Here is a 19,098-nt window from a genome sequence, read left to right as displayed (position 1 = left end):
TATCCTTCATGACTGCACACAGAGTTGAGTTAAGAGTATATGGAGAGCTTGGGCCCTGTATAGTTTCCACCTTGCATGTCTGAAACAAGCATGTCTATGCCTCAACAATGACCACAACCTCAAGCAAGTAGAACCACTATTCCTCCCCGCTTCCAAACCACAAAGGTTGTCTATTTCATCAACAATGCCATTTCCTAAGAGAATTCTTTATCACTCCAAATAGAACTGTGAGGAGTAGCCACAGGCATGAACACTACAAATTCACACTGTCACTACCCAAAGTGAAGCAGTTCTAAAGCAGAAGAGCTTCTCAAAAATCGCCTTTGGTCAATTAAAAGAGCATAAAAATAGATGTTTTCATTAACTGTATTCCATTTTATCATTGCTTTTTGGAAGGGAAAATTTGCCAATCTCCTCATTTGTCCATAGCCAGAAGTCCTGCCTCTTTCTTCTTTACAACATTTCTAAAATTATTTGGTTAATAAGAAAGATCAAGTTAGTTTAGGGTGAACATGCTTGTTTCTTGGATGAGAAAGTTTTCTTTCTTTTCTCTTTCCTTTTTCCTGAAATTTACTAAAGTGACAGCTTTTAGAGTGGCACTATAAAGGGAAGTCAGTTACCATTTTCTTTTGGTACCTATTAGTACTCAAATGAAATGCTCTAGATTTACACTTTTTTTCTCCAATTCTATTGACAAGAATATGAAAAAATCTATTACTACAGAGAACATTCACCCTACTAGACAGAAATTTTAGGACTTCTTTGTTTTATCTCTATTTTTTTTTAATCTCTGGATACCTGTTTAGAAATAGAGGTTCAATGAAAGTTAATCTGATCTTATCATAAAGAGCCTTTGTTCTTTGAAGCAAATTAAAGAAAATTAATTTATTTTAAATGTTCTTTGGATGAGAATGGAAGGAGACAAAGTGTTTTTTTTTTTTTTTAGTGAAGTTTAGGAATAAAGATATTTTTTAAAAAGGTCTTTCTAAGTCACATATACTGTTTAAAGGGGGTCAATGATATGAAACAGGTTTCACTCAGGGAGAATAATATGAAAAACTGATAGTACAATATTGTAAAATACTTCATCAAATATACAGTGTTCAGTAAGAGTGTTAAACATAGTTTAAATATAATTTGAAATAAAAATTTTCTTGTTATAGGCAGTTTTTGCTTTCATTATTTTCGGTTATCATTCTTAGAATAAAAAAATACATGTATGCCATAGAAATTCTCATTGATTTGACATTATAACATCTGTAGTCAAGTCTTGGTTGTGCAATTTGAGGCAAATAATTAAATTTCTCTGAGTTTCATTTTACTTATGTGACATAAGGAATAGGAAATACCTCTCTTGTAGAAATGTTATAAAAAATAGAAAATAGCCGGGCGTGGTGGCTCACGCCTGTAATCCCAGCACTTTGGGAGGCTGAGGCGGGCAGATTAGCTGAGATCAGGAGTTCAACACCAGCCTGGCCAAGATGGTGAAAGCCGTGTTTACTAAAAATACAAAAAATTAGCTGGGCATGGTGGCAGATGCCTGTAATCCCAGGTACTCAGTGGGCTGAGGCAGTAGACTCACTTGAACCCAGGAGGCGGAGGTTGCAGTAAGCCAAGATTGAGCCATTGCACTTCAGCACAGGCAACAAGAGTGAAACTCTGTCAAAAAAAAAAAATAGATGATACAGTACAGAATACAAAACAAATATAACAAAAACTGTTTCTTCCCACCACCACATGGAGAGATGAGCAAGGGAGTAGCTATTTCCTGGAAAGTCTAAAACTTATTTAAGTCTTGGAAAGAAGCCCTTCAAAACTAGCCCTAAAGTCATTATATCGTTTCCTACTGAATATTTGGATCCAATGGGGGCTGAGTTTCCCAGATCAGTTGGTAAGGGTCTTTTGTGGCATGAAAAGGAGACGGTTTGGAAAATAGGAAGAAGAATAGGTGGAATCAGAAAAGCTTGTGGTATAATCTCTGATTACATTACACTTATAGGTGGCTGAGACTATTTTGGTCTTGATTCCAGAAAATCCTTTAGCTTAGAATTGAGTGAAGATAAGCACAAAGAACTGTGCTATGATTTGAATATGTCTCCCAAATTTCATGTGCTGAACACTTAATCCCCAAATTCATATGTTGATTGGAGGTAGGGTCTTCAGGGGGTAATTAGGATTTGATAAGATCATTAGAGTGGGGCTTCATAAAAAGAGAAAGAGAGACCTGAGGTGACAGGCTTGTTCTTGCCCTCGCACCATGTGATGCCCTCTGCTATGTTATGATGTAGTAAGGAGGTCCTCACCAGTTGCTGGCACTATGCTCTTGGGAATCCCAGCCCACAGAACTGTGAACTAAATAACTTATTTTCTTCATAAATTATCCAGTCTGTGGTATTCTGCTATCACAATAGAAAATAGACTAAGAAAATTGGTATAGAGAGGTGGAGTTTTTGCTATAACAAATAGCCTGAAAATGTGGAAGTGGCTTTGAAACTGGCTAATGGGTAAAGGCTGGAGCAATTTGGAGGAACAGACTAGAAAATGACTGTATTTCCACAAACTAAGCATTATGGGCAATTCTGGTAATGGCTCAACAAGAAGACTAAGGGAATTCTGCAACTTCTTTGAAATGACTTATGTGGTTGTGTCTCAAAGAACATGGCTGACATGTGCTCATGCCCAAGGGCTTTATAGAATGCAGAATTTCAGGGCAATAAACCAGGTTATATGGCAGAAGGAAATATCTAAGCAGCAAAGCATTCAGACTACTGCATGGCCACTTTTAAAGACTTACAGTAAGATGAGAAACAAAACAGAGCATGAAAATTTGCAAGATTCACAGCCTGGCCATGTGGTAGAGAAAGAAAACATTTTTCAGCAGAAGAAACCAAGAATATGGTCCAGTGACAGTTTTCTAAGAAGATTAGTACTGACAAAAAGAATCAAGACAGTGGGAGAAATACCCTGCAGTCATTTCAGAGATCTTTAAAACTGCCTTTTTATCATGAGTCCAGAACTCTAAAAGGGCAGAATGATTTTGGAAAATGGGTCTCTGCCCAGAGCTTCCTTGGTTCTCTGCTCCTTGCATTTCAGTGTAGTGCTCCTCAGCTACCACAGCTGTGGCTGAAGGAGCCCCAAGTGTGGCTCCAGTCTTCACTCAGAAAAGTACAATCATAAAAGTTGGCAGCATCTATCTGGTGATCATTCTGCAGGTATGCAGAATGCAAGAGGAGTCATGGCCTAGATTTCAACACCTAGATTTCAAAGGGTGTTGCAAACAGCCTGGGGGACAAAGTAGAGATTTGTTGCAGACATAGAGCCACCACAGAGTACCTGCTACAGCAATGCTGAGAAGAAATGTGGGGTCACCAAAAGCAAATGCAACAAAAACAAAAATAAATAAATGGGACCTAATTAAACTAAAAAGCTTCTGCACAGCAAAAGAAATAAAATCAACAGAGTAAATAGACAACCCACAGAATAGGAGAAAATATTTTTCCAAATTACAAAACCAACAAATAACTACTATCCAGAATATACAAGGAATTCAAACAAATCAGCAGGAAAAAAAACAAATAATCCCATCAAAAAGTGAGCAAAGGACAAAAATAAACATTTCTCAAAAGAAGAGATACAATAAAGGCCAAGAAGCATATGAAAGAAGAGGCCAAGAAGCATATGAAAAAATGCTCAACATCACTAATCATCAGTGAAATGCAAATTAAAACCACAATGAGATCACCTTGCTTCTGCAAGAATGGCCATTATTAAAAAGCCAGCAAACAATAGGCATGGGTGTGGATGTGGAGTAAAAGGAACGCTTGTTCACTACTGGTAGGAATGTGAATTAGTACTACCCCTACGGAAAACAGTATGGAGATTCCTTAAAGAACTAAAAGTAAATCTACCATTCGATCTAGCAATCCCACTACTGGGTATCTACCCAAAATAAAGTAAGTTGTTATATCAGTAAGACACTGGTGCACGTATGGTTATAGCGGCACAATTCACAACTGCAACAATGTGGAACCAACTTATGTGCCCATCAACTAAAGTTGATTAAAAAAATGTAATATATATATACACACACATACCATGGACTATGACTCACCCATTAAAAAGAATGAAATGATGTCTTTTGCAGAAACTTGGATGGAGCTGGAGACCATTATTCTAAGTCAAGTGACACAGGAGTGGTAAACCAAAAACCATATGTTCTCACTTATAAGTGGGAACTAAGTTATGTATACGCAAAGGCATACAGACTGATATAATGGACATTAAAGACTCAGGATAGGGAGGGTGGCAGGGAGGCTCAGGGTAAAAAATTACACATTAGGTATAATGTACACTACTTGGGTGACGTGCACTAAAATCTCAAAATTCAACACTATATAATTCATCCATGTCAAAAAATCCACTTGTACCCCCAAAGCTATTGAAATAAAAAATGTAAACAAAAAAGAAATGTGGGGTCAGAGCTGCCACAGAGAGTGCCCACCAGGCAATGCCTAGTAGATCACTATTGGGACTCCAGAACTGCACAGCCACCAGTGTGCCGTTGCAGACTGGGAGAACTGAAGTGTGGGTTGAGCTGAGTAAAGCCATGTGTCAGGCTGCCCAAAGCCTTGGGAACACAACTTTCACCTCCATGTATCTGAGAGGTGGCACACAGAGCGAAAGATTATTCTTTAGTTTTTCAACTTAATTTGTGCTCCTTGTTGGGTTTTGAACTTACTTGGGATCAGTTGCCCCTTTCTTCTAGCCTCCTTCCCTCTTTTGAAATGGAAATGTCTATCCTATGCCTGCCCCATCATTGTATTTTGTAAAGTACTTAACTTGTTTTGATTTCACAGGTTCATAGCTGAAGAAAATTTGCCTCAGGATTAATCATGCCTTAAGCACACCCATATCTGATTTAGATGAAACTCTGGACTTTGGGCTTTTGAGTTGGTGCTGGATCGAGTTAAGACTGGAGTTGTTGGGATGGATTAATGTATTTTGCACATGAAAGGAGATGAATTTTGGGGGCCAAGTGTAGAATGCTATGGTTTGAATGTGTCCCCCAAACTTTATGTGTTGGAAACTTAATCTCTAAATTAATATGTTGACTGGAATTTCAGTCTTTGAGAGGTAATTAGAATTAGATAAAGTCATTGGGATGGGACACTCATGATGCGACTTGGGGCTTTATAAAAAGAAGAAGAGACCTAAGGTGACAAACACACTTTTTCTTCTTAATATGTGATACCCTTTTGCCATGCTATGGTGCAGTAAGAAGACTTTCACCAGGTGCTGGTGCCATGTTCTTGGACTTCTCAGTCTCCCAAACCATAAGCCAAGTAAGTTTATTTATAAGTTATCCAGTCTGTGGTATTCTTTTATAGTAACAGAAAACAGACTAAGGCAGAATACTACAGCATGTAGTGTGCATGACTGTGGCAGCAACTCTAATGGCATACCCAGATGCGAAGTGCTGAAACCTTACTATCCTTGGCAAAATTTCTAAACTAGTTTCCATTGTCAGAGCTTCTACATGAGTTAAAGACAGTCAATAACTTCCTTCCTCACCCACAAATCTAAGGATGCACATATTGTACCATAGTCTCCCACAGTCCATTTGCTGGCATTTTTCAATAATTTTACCATGACACTTGACTTTGAAGAAGTGGACTTTTTTATCAGTGAATGTATATTTTTGGTTAGGGTTCACAAGAAACATGTTGGATAGACTTTGGAGAAGAAGAATCTTTTCACAAACCACCGATAAGACTCAGAATAAAATAAAGCCTGGTCAGCATTTTGCTACAAGTCAGTTCCCTGTTCAAGCACCCAGAGCCTCACCTCTAAAATAAGATGTGAAAATTATGCCCCTGCATTTGCATATGGCTGTACAACTGGGTATCGACATAATAGGATCTTCAATTCAAATATCTTTTCCATGATTTTTATCCAGCACCCTTGATTGAGCTCTTATGATATTAAATCTTTCTATCCTGATATCTAAAATTTTCTGAAGCATGTTTTCAGATGATATTCTTATGGTGTATATGTACTATCAATTCCTGCTGAGAATTAAAATTTTATGTAATATAGTTTTCAAGATTATTTCATTTTTGTAATAAATTTATGAGGTACGCCATGCCAGTACTATTATTACTAAATGAAAGGTGAGCAGCGGCACAAACACAAAAAAGTATTCTAGCTATAAAATAAAATAATTTCATGAAAACAATGGGGATAGAACGTTGTTTTATAATGCTCCTTATAATGCTGGTGATTGGAAACTGATCTAACACTTGTAAACCAACTGTTTTGCATTTCTTTGGATAACAGGACTTAAGAGGAAAAAAATAATAAAAGTTAAAATTTCTCAACATATATAAAAATGAACAGTGTTTTCATAGGTTTTTCTCTTTAATTACATTTCCTCTGGGCATACATGCATAATTTTTCAGTAGACATTAGGGATTTTAAAATGGTTTGTAGCCCACATCCTTGAGGGAGAAAACACAAAACGAAACTTATTCTCCAAGCTAGGTGTAATTTGCTAGCATTGCATATTCAGGTTACTTATGGTGGAATGATGTGGCATATTATTTGCCTCTTATACTCTGTTTTCTGAATACTTACTTACTAAGGAATAACACACTAGTTGAAGTCCATTTTAAACGCATGTACAGTGTAAAGTATTTAAATAAGAGACTGAATTTATAAAAGGCAAGATACCCTAGTGTAGAATAAGTGGCACCGTTCTGAAGTGAAATTTTTATTTTTTATTTTTATTTATTTATTTCTTTTGAGACCCAGTCTTGCTCTGTCGCCCAGGCTGGAGTGCAGTGGTGCGATCTCGGCTCACTACAAGCTCCGCCTCCCGGGTTCACGCCATTCTCCTGCCTCAGCCTCCCGAGTAGCTGGGACCCGAGTAGCTGGGACCACAGGCGCCCGCCACCACACCCGGCACATTTTTTTTTATTTTTTATTTTTAGTAGAGACGGAGTTTCGCCGTGTTAGCCAGGATGGTCTCTATCTCCTGATCTCGTGATCCGCCCGTCTCGGCCTCCCAAAGTGCTGGGATTACAGGCGTGAACCACCGCACCCGGCCTTGAAGTCAAATTTTTAATAAAGAAATTACTCAAATATATATTTTACTTATGCGATGTGTTTCTAATAAGATATTTTAGGAGAATTTAGAAAGCTTTAAATAGGAAGATGACTAGATTTTCATTCTATGTAACTCAGTGGTAATCTGACCCAATACTCTTCATTTTCAGCCTGCAACATCCGACAGCTTCAGTTATTGTGAGTAATTGTAACCAAGGCAACATGACAGGGAATAATTAATGACTGGAACTTATCTTCAAAATATGAAGAACATTCCCAATAATAAATATTGGAATAATAACAATACCTCATACCTCTCTCTACCTTCAACGCTCTTGAAACATCTCCACAAATTAATAATAGTGATTTTGCATACAGGAGGATATGATTGACATGCATATAATATTAAAAAGAGAATTAATTATAGTAAAATTGACATATTATTAAATTTATATCAAAAGCTTTCCTAAATCTCTACAAATATATAACAGCAGATGTTCTCCCTCTTTCTATCTCTTTCATGCCCATCTAAGTTGAAAGTTGTGTGAAGGTATTCCATATAAATAAGATATTCGAGAGGAAGTAGATTTAGCAGTCAGATTATCTTGGCTACAAATCATATACTAGCCTTCTGACCTTGGGAATTCATGACATTCATTAATCTTTTTCGCTCTCAGTTTCTTTTAATAGGAAAGTAAGGTTGATGTTAAAAACATCAACATATTAATGTAGTTGTTGAGAAAATTATATGAAAGTGTGTAAGTAAAGTGTGTATCTTAGTACCTTCCAACCAAAGAATAAACATTCAATAGATTAGTTTGTAGGCCCATTAACACATAAATGTGTCATATATGGGGCATTCTTCTAGATTCTGTGATATAGCAGCCCCTGATGCAAAAGGAAGTTAATTTTGAATGCGGCCTCTCCTGATGGGAGAGGGTGGGAGCCCAGAATTAACAACTGACTTGTCTCACCAACTCAGAGTGAGCAATTATAGCCACTAATTTTTTACTTTGTTTTTATTCTATATTTTTTATTTTCAATTTGATGCATAGGGCTTTGTTATTTCTCTGTGTGTGTGTGTGTGTGCGTGTGTGTGTGTGTGTGTGTGTGTAAAACAGAACCCAGATTAATTCTTGCTTTTTTTTGTTTTCAAATCTATCACTACCCTCATATTTGATGAATGTTGCTTTCCTTAGATGAGTTGGGTTTTGATTTTTCTTTATTTTAATTGAATTTTTTAAATATTTAGTTAACTGTTGGTTCACGTGCAGTTGTAGGAAATAATACAGAGAGATATTCCATGCCCTTTACCCAGTTTTCTTCTAGTGGTAACATCTTTCAAATTTGTAGGACAATATCACAACCAGGATATTGACGTTGATACAGTCAAGGTACGTTTCCTCCCCACAAGGAAGCTTCACTGTGTTCTTACATAGCTGCCTCTACTCCCCGACAACTTCATAACCCTAAACCCCTGACAACCACTAATCTTCCATTTTGTAATTTTGTCAATTCAAGAATATTACATAAATGGAACCATACAGTATATAACCTTTGGAGATTGGCTTTGTTGTTGTTGTTGTTTTAACTCAAGATACTACCCTGGAAATTCATTCAGGTTGTTGTGTTTATAAGTTTATTCTTTTTTTAATCACCAAGTAGTATTTCTTGACATGGGTGTACCATGATTTGTTTAGACACACACTTGGTGAAGGACATCTGGGTTGTTGCCAGATTTTGGCTATCATGATTAAAACAGCTATATAAACATTTGTGCACAGGTTTTCATGTGAGAATAAGTTTGCATACCTCTAGGTAAATATCCGGGAGTGCAATTGCTGGGTTGTATGCTAGTTGTATGTTTAGTTCTGAAGAAACTGCTGAACTGTTTTTTGAAAGTGGTTGTACCATTTTACATTCATATCAGCAATGTATGAGTGATCCAGTTTTTCTACTTCCTTGCCCAGCATTTGGTGTCATCAATGTTTTTCATTTTAGCTGTTCTTATAGGTGTACAGCAGTATCTTACTGCAGTTTTAATTTGCATTTTCCTAAAGAGTAGCAGTGTTGAACATCTTTTTCTGCCTTTTTTAAATTTGAAGGATGAGTTACTATTTTTTTGCTTAATAATAAAGCTATTGATGTTCTACACTTTCTATGATTTTATAGAATGACTTTATTTTTACATTTTTCTAAATATACTATAATAGTAATTTTCATTCTTTCCTTGATCTTATAGTTTGTTTTTGTTGTTGCTTTGTTTACCAGAACTATTAACACTCATTTTTTTAAGAACGATTTTCTTTATAGTCATATTGTCAAACAGGAATTGAAAAATGTCATGTTATGCTATTATAAAACTTTGTTAAAAAATTGCATACACACCCAAAATCTGTCAAAACTTGATGCATTCTAAGTTAGCTCATATTTTCCATTTTTTTCTTTTTTTATTATACTTTAAGTAACAATCATTTTTTTTAGAACTACTCCTTCTCATGCAGTTTATTCTTATCTGAACTTGACTAAATTAAGTGATACCTAGAGAGTTGGTAAAGCATTATTTCTGGATGTGTTTGTGAGGATGTTTCAGCAGAAGATTGGTGTGTGAGTTGGTGGACTGAATGGCCAAGTTCCACTCTTAATATAGGAGGGCATGGAGAGAACAAAAAGTCAGGAGAAAGGCAAATTTGTTTTAGCTGATCCTGAAACTTTCAGGCTTGATCAGCCATGCTGCTGGGTTCCAGGTTCTTCTGCTTGCTGACAGCCTATCAGGGGCCTTCTCAGCCTCCATAACCATGTGAGCCAATTCACCTAATAAGTCCCATCTCATCTATCTATCTATCTATCTATCTATCTATCTATCTATCTATCTATAATTTATCCTTTATGTTGGTTCTGTCTCTCTGGAGAACTCTGACAAACACAAACACAAAAAGAGAAAACTGCATATAGGATGACAACCCAAGGAAATGTCTTATTTGGATAGTTAATACAGAGTACAATCTACAACCAAAATCGTCCCACTGTTCTTCGATTTGATAAGGTAGATGAGACATACCTAGAAGAAATAACAAAGGAAAACATCAGAGAAAAGAAATTTTTTTCAGGATCATTCAAATAATTTTTTATGTTATGCTAAAAACATTTTAATGTTAACTACTATGCCATGGGATAAGGGTGGAGGGACTTGGGGCATTAACTTTTCATTCTGGAATTTTTTGTTTTTTAATATTGGAGTTCACTGGTTGGTTTTAAACTATATCTTGGGTGACAAAATATATAAGTATTTTGCCTATTTAATTGACTTCTTTGCATATAAATCAAAATATTTACTTTGAATGCACAGTTGACTCCTGAGCAACGCAAGAGTTAAGAGTGCCAACCCGCTTGCAGTAAGAAGTCCACTTATAACTTTTCGCTTTCAAAAAATGTCGCTACTAATAGCCTACTATTAACCAGAAACCTTACTGATAACATGTATGACTGATTAAAGACTATTTAGTATGTCATATATATAATACCCTGTATACTTACAATAAAGTAAGCTAGAGAAATGAAAATATTATTAAGAAAATCATAAGGGAGGGAAAATACATATACATCCTCATGATCTTAACATGAGTAAACTGAAGAGGAGGAGGAAGTGGAGGGATTGTTCTTGCTGCCTGAAGGGTGACCAAGGTGGAAAAGATGGAGAGAGTGAAAGGAGAGGCAGACAAATTTGGTGTAATTTTCCTCTGAAATATGTCTGAATTATCCTTAATTCCATCATTTGCTTTACTTTCAGTGCCCACATCATAAAAGAGTCCACATTATAGTAAAAAAAAAATCAAGAGTAATTTTGGGTTATCAGAATCCTTCTGGCAAATTATCTAATATCAATCTGTTTTCCAGCATTACTTCTTCTACAGCTCTTTCTTCATCATCTGACACTGGTTCAGAAGGACTCATCTCCACTAAATCATCTTTTGTTAATTGCTCTGCTGTGGTATCTGTTAGGTCTTGAATTTTTCCAAGATCCCTATCTCAAAATGCTTCACTTGTCTCCCTTTTTGCCATATTCACCATCTCTTTCATGATTTTCCTTATTGGCTTTATCACAAATCTTGTGAAGTTATGCACAGCTTCTGGAAACAATTTTCTCTGGCAGGAATTTATTATTTGGAGCTTAATGCCTTTCACAGCATTTTTTGTAACATCAATGACGTCCATGGTGTAATTCCGCCAAACTTTCATGGTACTCTCTCCATTGGGGTTCTCTTCCATAACATTGACAATTCTTTCAATTAAGGTCATGTGTAATAACCCTTAAAGGTCTTTATGATCAGGTCTCAAGACCCTGATCCAGAGGCCAACTTAGAGACATTGTGTTTTGGGGCAAGTAGACCACTTTGAACTCATGAGGTTCTGGGTTACCAGGGTCATTGTCCAATAACAAAAGGACTTTAAAAGCCGGTTCCTTACTAGCAAGCTTCTTCTTGACTTCAGGGACAAAGCATCATTTGAATCAACCCAGAAAAATAATTTTCGTTGTCCAGATCTCCCATTGTACAACTAAAAAACTGGCAGCTGGTGTTTGTCTTTTCCCTACAAAGCTCCAAGTTTTGCAGCTTTATAGATAAGACCAATCCTGATTATAAACCCAATTTCATTTGCACAAAACAGTAGAGTTAGCCTATCTCTTCCTGCCTACAATTCTGGTGCTTGCTTCTATTTCTTACTAATAAATATCCTTCACAGCATATTTTTCCAGAATAGGGCACATTTGTCTTCATTAAAAACCTTTTTATACAGATTTTCTTTCTCCTTAATGATTTTCTTTATGGTATGTGAGAAATTGTTTTCATACTTTTGGCCTGCAGAAGCCTCTTCTGTATTCTTAAAATTTTTTAACCTAACCTCTTTCTAAAATTATCAAACCATCCTTTACTGCCATTAAATTCTCCAGCACTAGATCTTTCATCTTTGTTTTGCTTTCAGTTGTCATATAATGATTTTGCTTTTTCTCAAATCTATTAGAATTGTTAGGTATGACTTTCTTATAGCAATTTTGCACTCATGTGAAAGCTGTATTTTCCACTATGAAATGAAAGGCATTTTGCAAAAAGTGCAAGGTTATCATGCCTGCTGGCATAAGCTACAATGATGATTTCACAAATTTTCTTTTTTTTAAAAAAATGGTCTTTAGGCTTGGTATGTTTTAACCTGAAATGGTGAAAAACCTCAGCTGCAGACCTCACTCTGTGGTACATATCAAGGAATTGAATTTTTTCTTGTAATGTCATGATTTTTCTCTGTTTCTTGGGGGTACATCCAGCATCACAAGTGGCACTTCATATGGGTCTCATCCTGTTATTGGCAATTTACCATATTGCACTAAACACAATAAAAAATATGTGAGAAACTTGAGGGATCACTTTTACTGTGATATGCATTTTACTAAAGAGAGGAACTATGAACATGAAGAGAATTACCTTCACAAAATGTTTTAACCAGATTCAACACTTGAACTCACCACAATAGCAATAGAAGGTGGCTACAAATTTAGTATAATAGCATAGTATGTATTAAAGCTACTTTTATGCAGTTATGATTTAACAGTGCATCTTTACATCTCTTTGGACTGAAATAACACCATGTATGGTCTGTAAGTGTTTGTGTGCATAAGTTTTTATAAATTTTAACTATAATAGATTTATGTATATTTAATCATGGTAAATAATGTTACAGACTAGTATATAAACATTTTATGTATTCAGCACATAACTATTTTTTTTCAATATTTCTAGGCTACACAGTTCATCTGAAAATTTTTTAAAATTGTTACAAATCTCCAAAACAAGTTTCCAATATATTTACTGAAAAAAAAAATCCACACATAAGTGGATCCATGTAGCCCAAACCTGTGTTGTTCAAGGGTCAAATGTACTGTGGTGTTTTAGATCATCTTAAGTTCCCTTGCTCTATCTTAAAAGTACACAGATCATTTGAACAACAAAATCAGGGATTTGAAGAGAAGTTACTTTTTCTTACTTGTATATTCTTGTGTTGTGACACATAAGCAATCATGAGGTTGAAGCAGGTGGGAGTGGTTAGAAAAAATAGCTTTAGATAGTTGTTAATGTAATCGTAACAAGAAATGGTGCTTAGATGACAATGCTGCTTAATACCAAGATTCTATATTTGCATTTTGACTTTAAAAGTATCTGTAGAGACTCAGCACAGCGGCTCACGCCTGTAATCCCAGCACTTTGGGAGGCCGAGGCAGGTGGATCACGAGGTCAAGAGATCGAGACCATCCTGGCCAACATGGTGAAATCCAGTCTCTACTAAAAATCCAAAAAAAAAAAAAAAATAGCCGGGTGTGGTGGCATGCACCTGTAGTCCCAGCTACTCAGGAGGCTGAGGCCGGAGAATCACTTGAACCCGGGAAACAGAGGTTGCAGTGAACCGAGATTGCGCCACTGCATTACAGCTGGGGGGCAGAGCAAGACACCGTCAAAAAAATAAAAATCTATAGAATAGCTTCCTTCCTATGTGTGTTTGTGCACACACACCCATGCACACATGCACATATGTTATACATGAGTATTAGTATTGGCATTAGTAATAGAGTTCCATCTAGTGTTTACAGATATTCTAAATCATAGGTAAATTTGTGTTTTCTTATTTAATTAAAAAATCATTTCAGGATAAACGTTATTAATTAAACATATTTACTTACCCATTCAGCCCTATTAAAACAGAAAAGTGAAACATTTTAAAGGATTATCAAATCATGATAAAAATCTTGCTATTGCTATTATAAAATAGAATAGGTTTATAAATGCTCAGGTAATTATAACTAATATGTACAATTAATGCATAATTAATATTATAAAACTACGATTTTATTAACAGGAGAAACTAAATTATTTGCTTATTATTTAGTGTTCAGAAATCTCTACATTTTTGCAGTGTTGCTCAACTTCAATTTGTCTATGAAATTCTCAAAGTTTCCACTGAAGTTAATTACAATGGCATTCAAAATGCTAAACACAAAATGCCTACAAGCTATGAAGTGTTATATAATTTTAAAACCAGGTTACTCACACAATATACAATTAGTTTTACTAACCCTTTTGGTTTTGAGAGATCTTATTGTGCAGCAATAAAGTTTTGGTGGTAAAAATGAGTCCCAGTGTAATGGATCATAATAATAATTGTGTTCAGCTAAAATATTGAAAACCCTAAGCAATAGAACTGCAGTCTGCTCATGTGTTAACAGTTCTCTAAATATCTGGAAAATATGATTTCCTTTTCATGCCAATTTCTATATAAATTTCATTGATTCCCTCATTCAACAGTGTTCATTAGCCCCCCAGAACTGTTCCAAATTCTCTATATATGTACAATGGGAGAAACTGTTAATCATTTCCCTATATCCATTATTCGTATTTTCTTTTTAAGGAGTGAAATACATCACCGCTTTCCCTGCTCCCGCCGCCATTAAAATTGTGTTTGGCATCTGACCACCAAGATACAGATATTTCCTAGACTGTTTTGCAGCTAGGTACTTAGGTAAGTACTGCCCTGAGATTGAATTTAAACCAACGTATGTAAGCATAAATATTGTGTCCAAATTGTGTACAACTTCTTGGTCATCCCTTTAAAACTAAACCTGTTTTCCCAGCACTGCCTCTTTTTCCATTCTGCAGATAGTAATGAAGATAGGGGCCACCATTCCCTGTGAAAATCAAGTGGGAAAGTCCTGAGTCCTTTAATGACTTTACAGAGGACAGAATAAACTCCTATCATATTCATGCAATTGTGCCTATGGGTCTCCTGTCTTGTTGTTAGAATGGATTTATTTGAACACTAACGAATATTGATAAGTATAAAAGAAAAATAAAATATAGTCTTTGGCCTAAAGGATACTCTAATCTGATGAACCAGCCAAAAAAATGGGCAACTGTATATAATGCAGAATCTCTATCATGATAGATGTCTGCAGAAAAGATGTGGTCACCGAAGAAATTCTGCCATGAGAAATTAAATAAGGCTTCAGATAAGTAGTGGCATTTAAATTGATCTTGAAATAGTGGTTTAAGATCATTACATGAAGAAACGGAATAACAGGTAGAAAAGATTCTACAGATAAAAAGAACACCATCAACAAAGGCATGGGGGAAGGAGTGCAGAGTAAATGAGGCATTTGGTGGATAGAAAGAAAATGATGGGTCAGCGAAGGGAGTAAGTGGCTGATAAGATCCTGGAAAAAGAACTATGATAGGTTGGATTATCTTGTGAATAGAGCTTTAATGTCATAAAGAGAATTTGTACTTTACCTGACAGAAAATGAACTTTTAGCAAACAGGTGAAATGAACATGCAATCTATGAAATCATCTAGGGTTGATATATTCTACATGGTATCAGCCATGGTCAAAAGGAGTGCTTCTTGATTTTTTATTATATGTGATTTTCCTTTATCATGAGAAATATTCTGTGGTGTGGAAAGAGCTTCCTTCTTTCAAAATAAAATGTAAGCAGCCACTCAGCTCTGAAGGGACAACACAAAGAGATAACAGACACCCTTCTTCTCTCTTATAATAGATGTAATTAATCTACCATTTACATTTTAAATAGTAGGAAATATGGACAGTAATTGGAGAACTTTTGAGCTAATATTTCTCCTGCATTCATCCCCAGCAGTCAGTGCAGCTGAAATATTTGAAAAATCAAACGCAGCATTGCCTTTCATAATTTCAGGGTCACCAGCAATTGATATTTTGAATATATTTGCATATGATTTGCTTCATCTGTATAAACAGCAACAACAACAACAACAAACACAAGATAGAAGCAACTGGTAAAATAATCCTAAAAAGTACCAATCACTATGTAGTTTCAGCCACACAAAAGACATACTGTGTTATAATGTTGAGGAAATTGTTGCTATATCATTTTCTCCACTGAACTACCTAAATGTTAAAAGAGGACTGTTTCTACTACTTCCTCTTTTTTTCACGTTTTTCACATCATAATCATGTACTACCATTAAATGTCAACTGAGATAGCATCCTGAGTCCTAGGTTTTGTGGGTTAGCTAGGCTCCTCTAAATTTGAAAACTGAGTCTGCAGCCAGAGGGAATTTAATAATATATGGAATTAATGATTGTCAATCAATGAGAAACTGAAATAAATCAGGGAATAAGCTCGATGGTATAATACAAGTTAGTCAAATCAATGAGTTTTCATAGTTGGAAATTTAATTGACTATTAAGCCAACTTTTTCAAAACTGTCTCAGTATCAAAGATAATATCAAGCACAGCAAAGCTGTACATGAAGGCCAGACTGCAATCTCAGACACAGTAATTGGCAAATAGTGCAAGGCAGCTGTCTATGCATTCTTGATATGTTTCTGCTTCTTTGTGGTATAACTTTACAATTGTTGAAAGAACTAACAGCCCTATAGGTCACAGAGTTTTTGAAAGTAGGTCTCCATCTCCTCAGACAAAGCTTCTGAAAATATAGAGATACTTTTGGGAGTAGATATGAATATTTTGCCTAAGATTTAACATTCTAAAAGCACTCAGATATTTTTGTTCTCACTTAGAAACAATTTAATGTTACAGATGCAAGCTTTATTTAAGCAGAGAATTACAAAAGGTCCAACATTTTTTCTCATTCTCTAGAGGATATTTCTAGTGCATAATTTAGAAATGGATATATTATTCATATTTGGGATATAAATTCAGAAACATGATTTCAAAAATTTTTTTGGATTAAGGGAAATTAGTCTGTTAGAAATAACAGATACTAATAAAAACATTTGTTAAACATGAATAAAGTCAATTAGCTATCCTGAATGGGATCCTCATAGAGAATAATTTCATTTCATTTCAAGAAGCAAGATCAACACTTTTGGCTCAATATGAACATAGTTGTATCCATATGTCTACAACTTCCCAATTTTCCAATTTTATACTAAGACTGAGTAAATATTTACAATAATACAACTCATATGCTGTTTTGTGAGGAAAAAGTATAATATAATATTTACATAATAATGTCAGAATAATAACATTTCTAAGGTTACCAAATGTTGGACTTTTTACACAAAGGCAAGATACCCAATATTCAAATTACATTCAAGTATAGTATTTCCTGTAACAGATAATCAACATCCCTCTCTCATCCCAAAACTCTTGAAGAGTTTGAATGTCCAGTCATGGGGGGAAGCTCTACAAAGTCAGCTGTGAGCATAGCCGGTTTCTATGTGGAGATATAAGGGGAACTGGCCCCATTTCATTGCATAAATATGGGAATTCTCATGGTTAAATTGATTTATTTATGGCTGCATAAGCTGATTCGGTCTGTTAAAGGTGTCTGTTACCAAGACTGTGTGGTTAACTACACGAATAGAAATAAAGATGGAGAAAAACACGATGCAATTTTTTAAAGGAAGCAGAAAGGATATTAAAATGTTTAACATACATACTTGTTATGCACTTAAAGAAATAGAAACTCTAATTGGAAGGCTACAGGAGACATATGGGAATTTTACAGGATTGCATTAAAGACCCCAGCACAAGGATAGAATAGAATATAGGACTATGCAGTGGGAAAATTAGCAGCAGCCTTATCCAAAACTGGATTCTAAATACAATAATATATACCCTGTTGATGTTCTATTAATAATGACAATAACCTTTGCATTAGATTTTACTCTCCAGGAAGCATTTTCCTTCAACTTATTCAAGTAACAGAAAAGGCCTACATGTATTATAATTATTTCCATTTGTAATTGGTAGAGGATGAAACTGACTTCCAGAACTTCTAATTTAATTGAATAAAGTTGCTTGATGTATTAGTTTTCTACTGTTGCATAACAAATTACCACAGACTTATTGGCATAAGACAACATCTATTTATTAACTCTAAGTTGTGTAGGTCAGAGCCTGGCATGATATGGGTGGATAACCTGCTTCTGATATCAAGGTATTTGCTGGTATGTGTCTTAACTGTAAGGCTCTGATGGAGAATCCACTTCTAAGCTTATTTAAATTGTTGACAGAATTCAGTTCTTTGCAGTTGTCACCTGAGGTCTTTGTTTTCTTGCTAGCTGTCAGCTCAGGGCAGCTCTCAACTCCTAGAGCTGCTACATTTATTGGCATATAGACTCCTCCATTTTTGAAGTTAACAATTACATGGCTGAATGCCTCTCGTGCTTCAAATATCTGTGATTTCCTCTGTTGCCACCAGCCAGATAAAACTCTTTGCTTTTAATGGGCTCACTCGATTGGGTCAGGCCTACAAAGTAAATCTTTGTATCTTAAGGTTCAGTTCTATTAGTACTTTAATAACCTCAGCAAAATTTCTTTACAGTAGTGCTTAGATGAGTGTCTGAATTAATAACTAGGGGATGGGAATCTAGCAGGTGCCATCTTTAGATATCTTCCCATCACATTTGGTTTATGAGGAGTCAAGCCAGAATCATAATTCAGGGATTTTTTATTAAAAATTCAAAAACTCTTTCAACCACAGTTAATTTGTTAACTTATAATAAATTGGTTAATCTTTAGCTACCTTATCTGTATATTACTCTCACATCATTCATAAGTTACTAGGGCATTCAAGAAGATGTCTCAAGCTGACTTGTTTTGAGAGCACAGAAAATACTCAAAAGGCAACAGACCCAGGGAAGAATGCCAGTTACTTGATTAGTGGAAGCAGAGAAAAGACAAGACCTAGTAAACCTTTGCCTGTTGTTCCATAATAGAGAGGCCTTTATAATCACTCCCTCTTCCCACCTCTCTATCCATTGACTCTCTTGTAATTTATAGCACTTCTATTAGGAAAGAAGCACATTTTAGAATGGAAGCCCCTTAAGGAGGAAAGCTTTTATCTTTGGATCTTTAGTGCCTTGCATAAGTTCTGGCACATATTAAATGCTATCAGACAACTTGCACATAGGTGATTCTTACATAGGTTGAGCTGAGTCATATTA

At 35.5% G+C, this 19,098-nt stretch overlaps 1 long non-coding RNA gene across 5 annotated transcripts in view; it reads left to right on the top strand.

Annotated features, from left to right (window-relative positions):
- The window catches only part of LOC105378798 (uncharacterized), a 69,237-nt gene that overhangs the window by 2,855 nt on the left and 47,284 nt on the right, over positions 1 to 19,098 (top strand). For 3 of the 5 annotated variants that reach the window (NR_188687.1, NR_188686.1, NR_188684.1), the window contains exon 2: positions 14,557 to 14,667. This is a non-coding gene — a long non-coding RNA (uncharacterized LOC105378798). Of the gene's footprint in view, positions 1 to 7,274; positions 7,303 to 14,556; positions 14,915 to 19,098 lie in introns of those variants that run through there. The other 2 variants (NR_188685.1, NR_188688.1) reach the window with 2 other exon arrangements.

Source organism: Homo sapiens, chromosome 1 (assembly GCF_000001405.40).
Source record: "Homo sapiens chromosome 1, GRCh38.p14 Primary Assembly".
NCBI classification, from domain to species: Eukaryota; Metazoa; Chordata; class Mammalia; order Primates; family Hominidae; genus Homo; species Homo sapiens.
The sequence above is the reverse complement of the archived record's forward strand: the minus strand, read 5'-3'. Positions and strand labels throughout refer to the sequence as shown.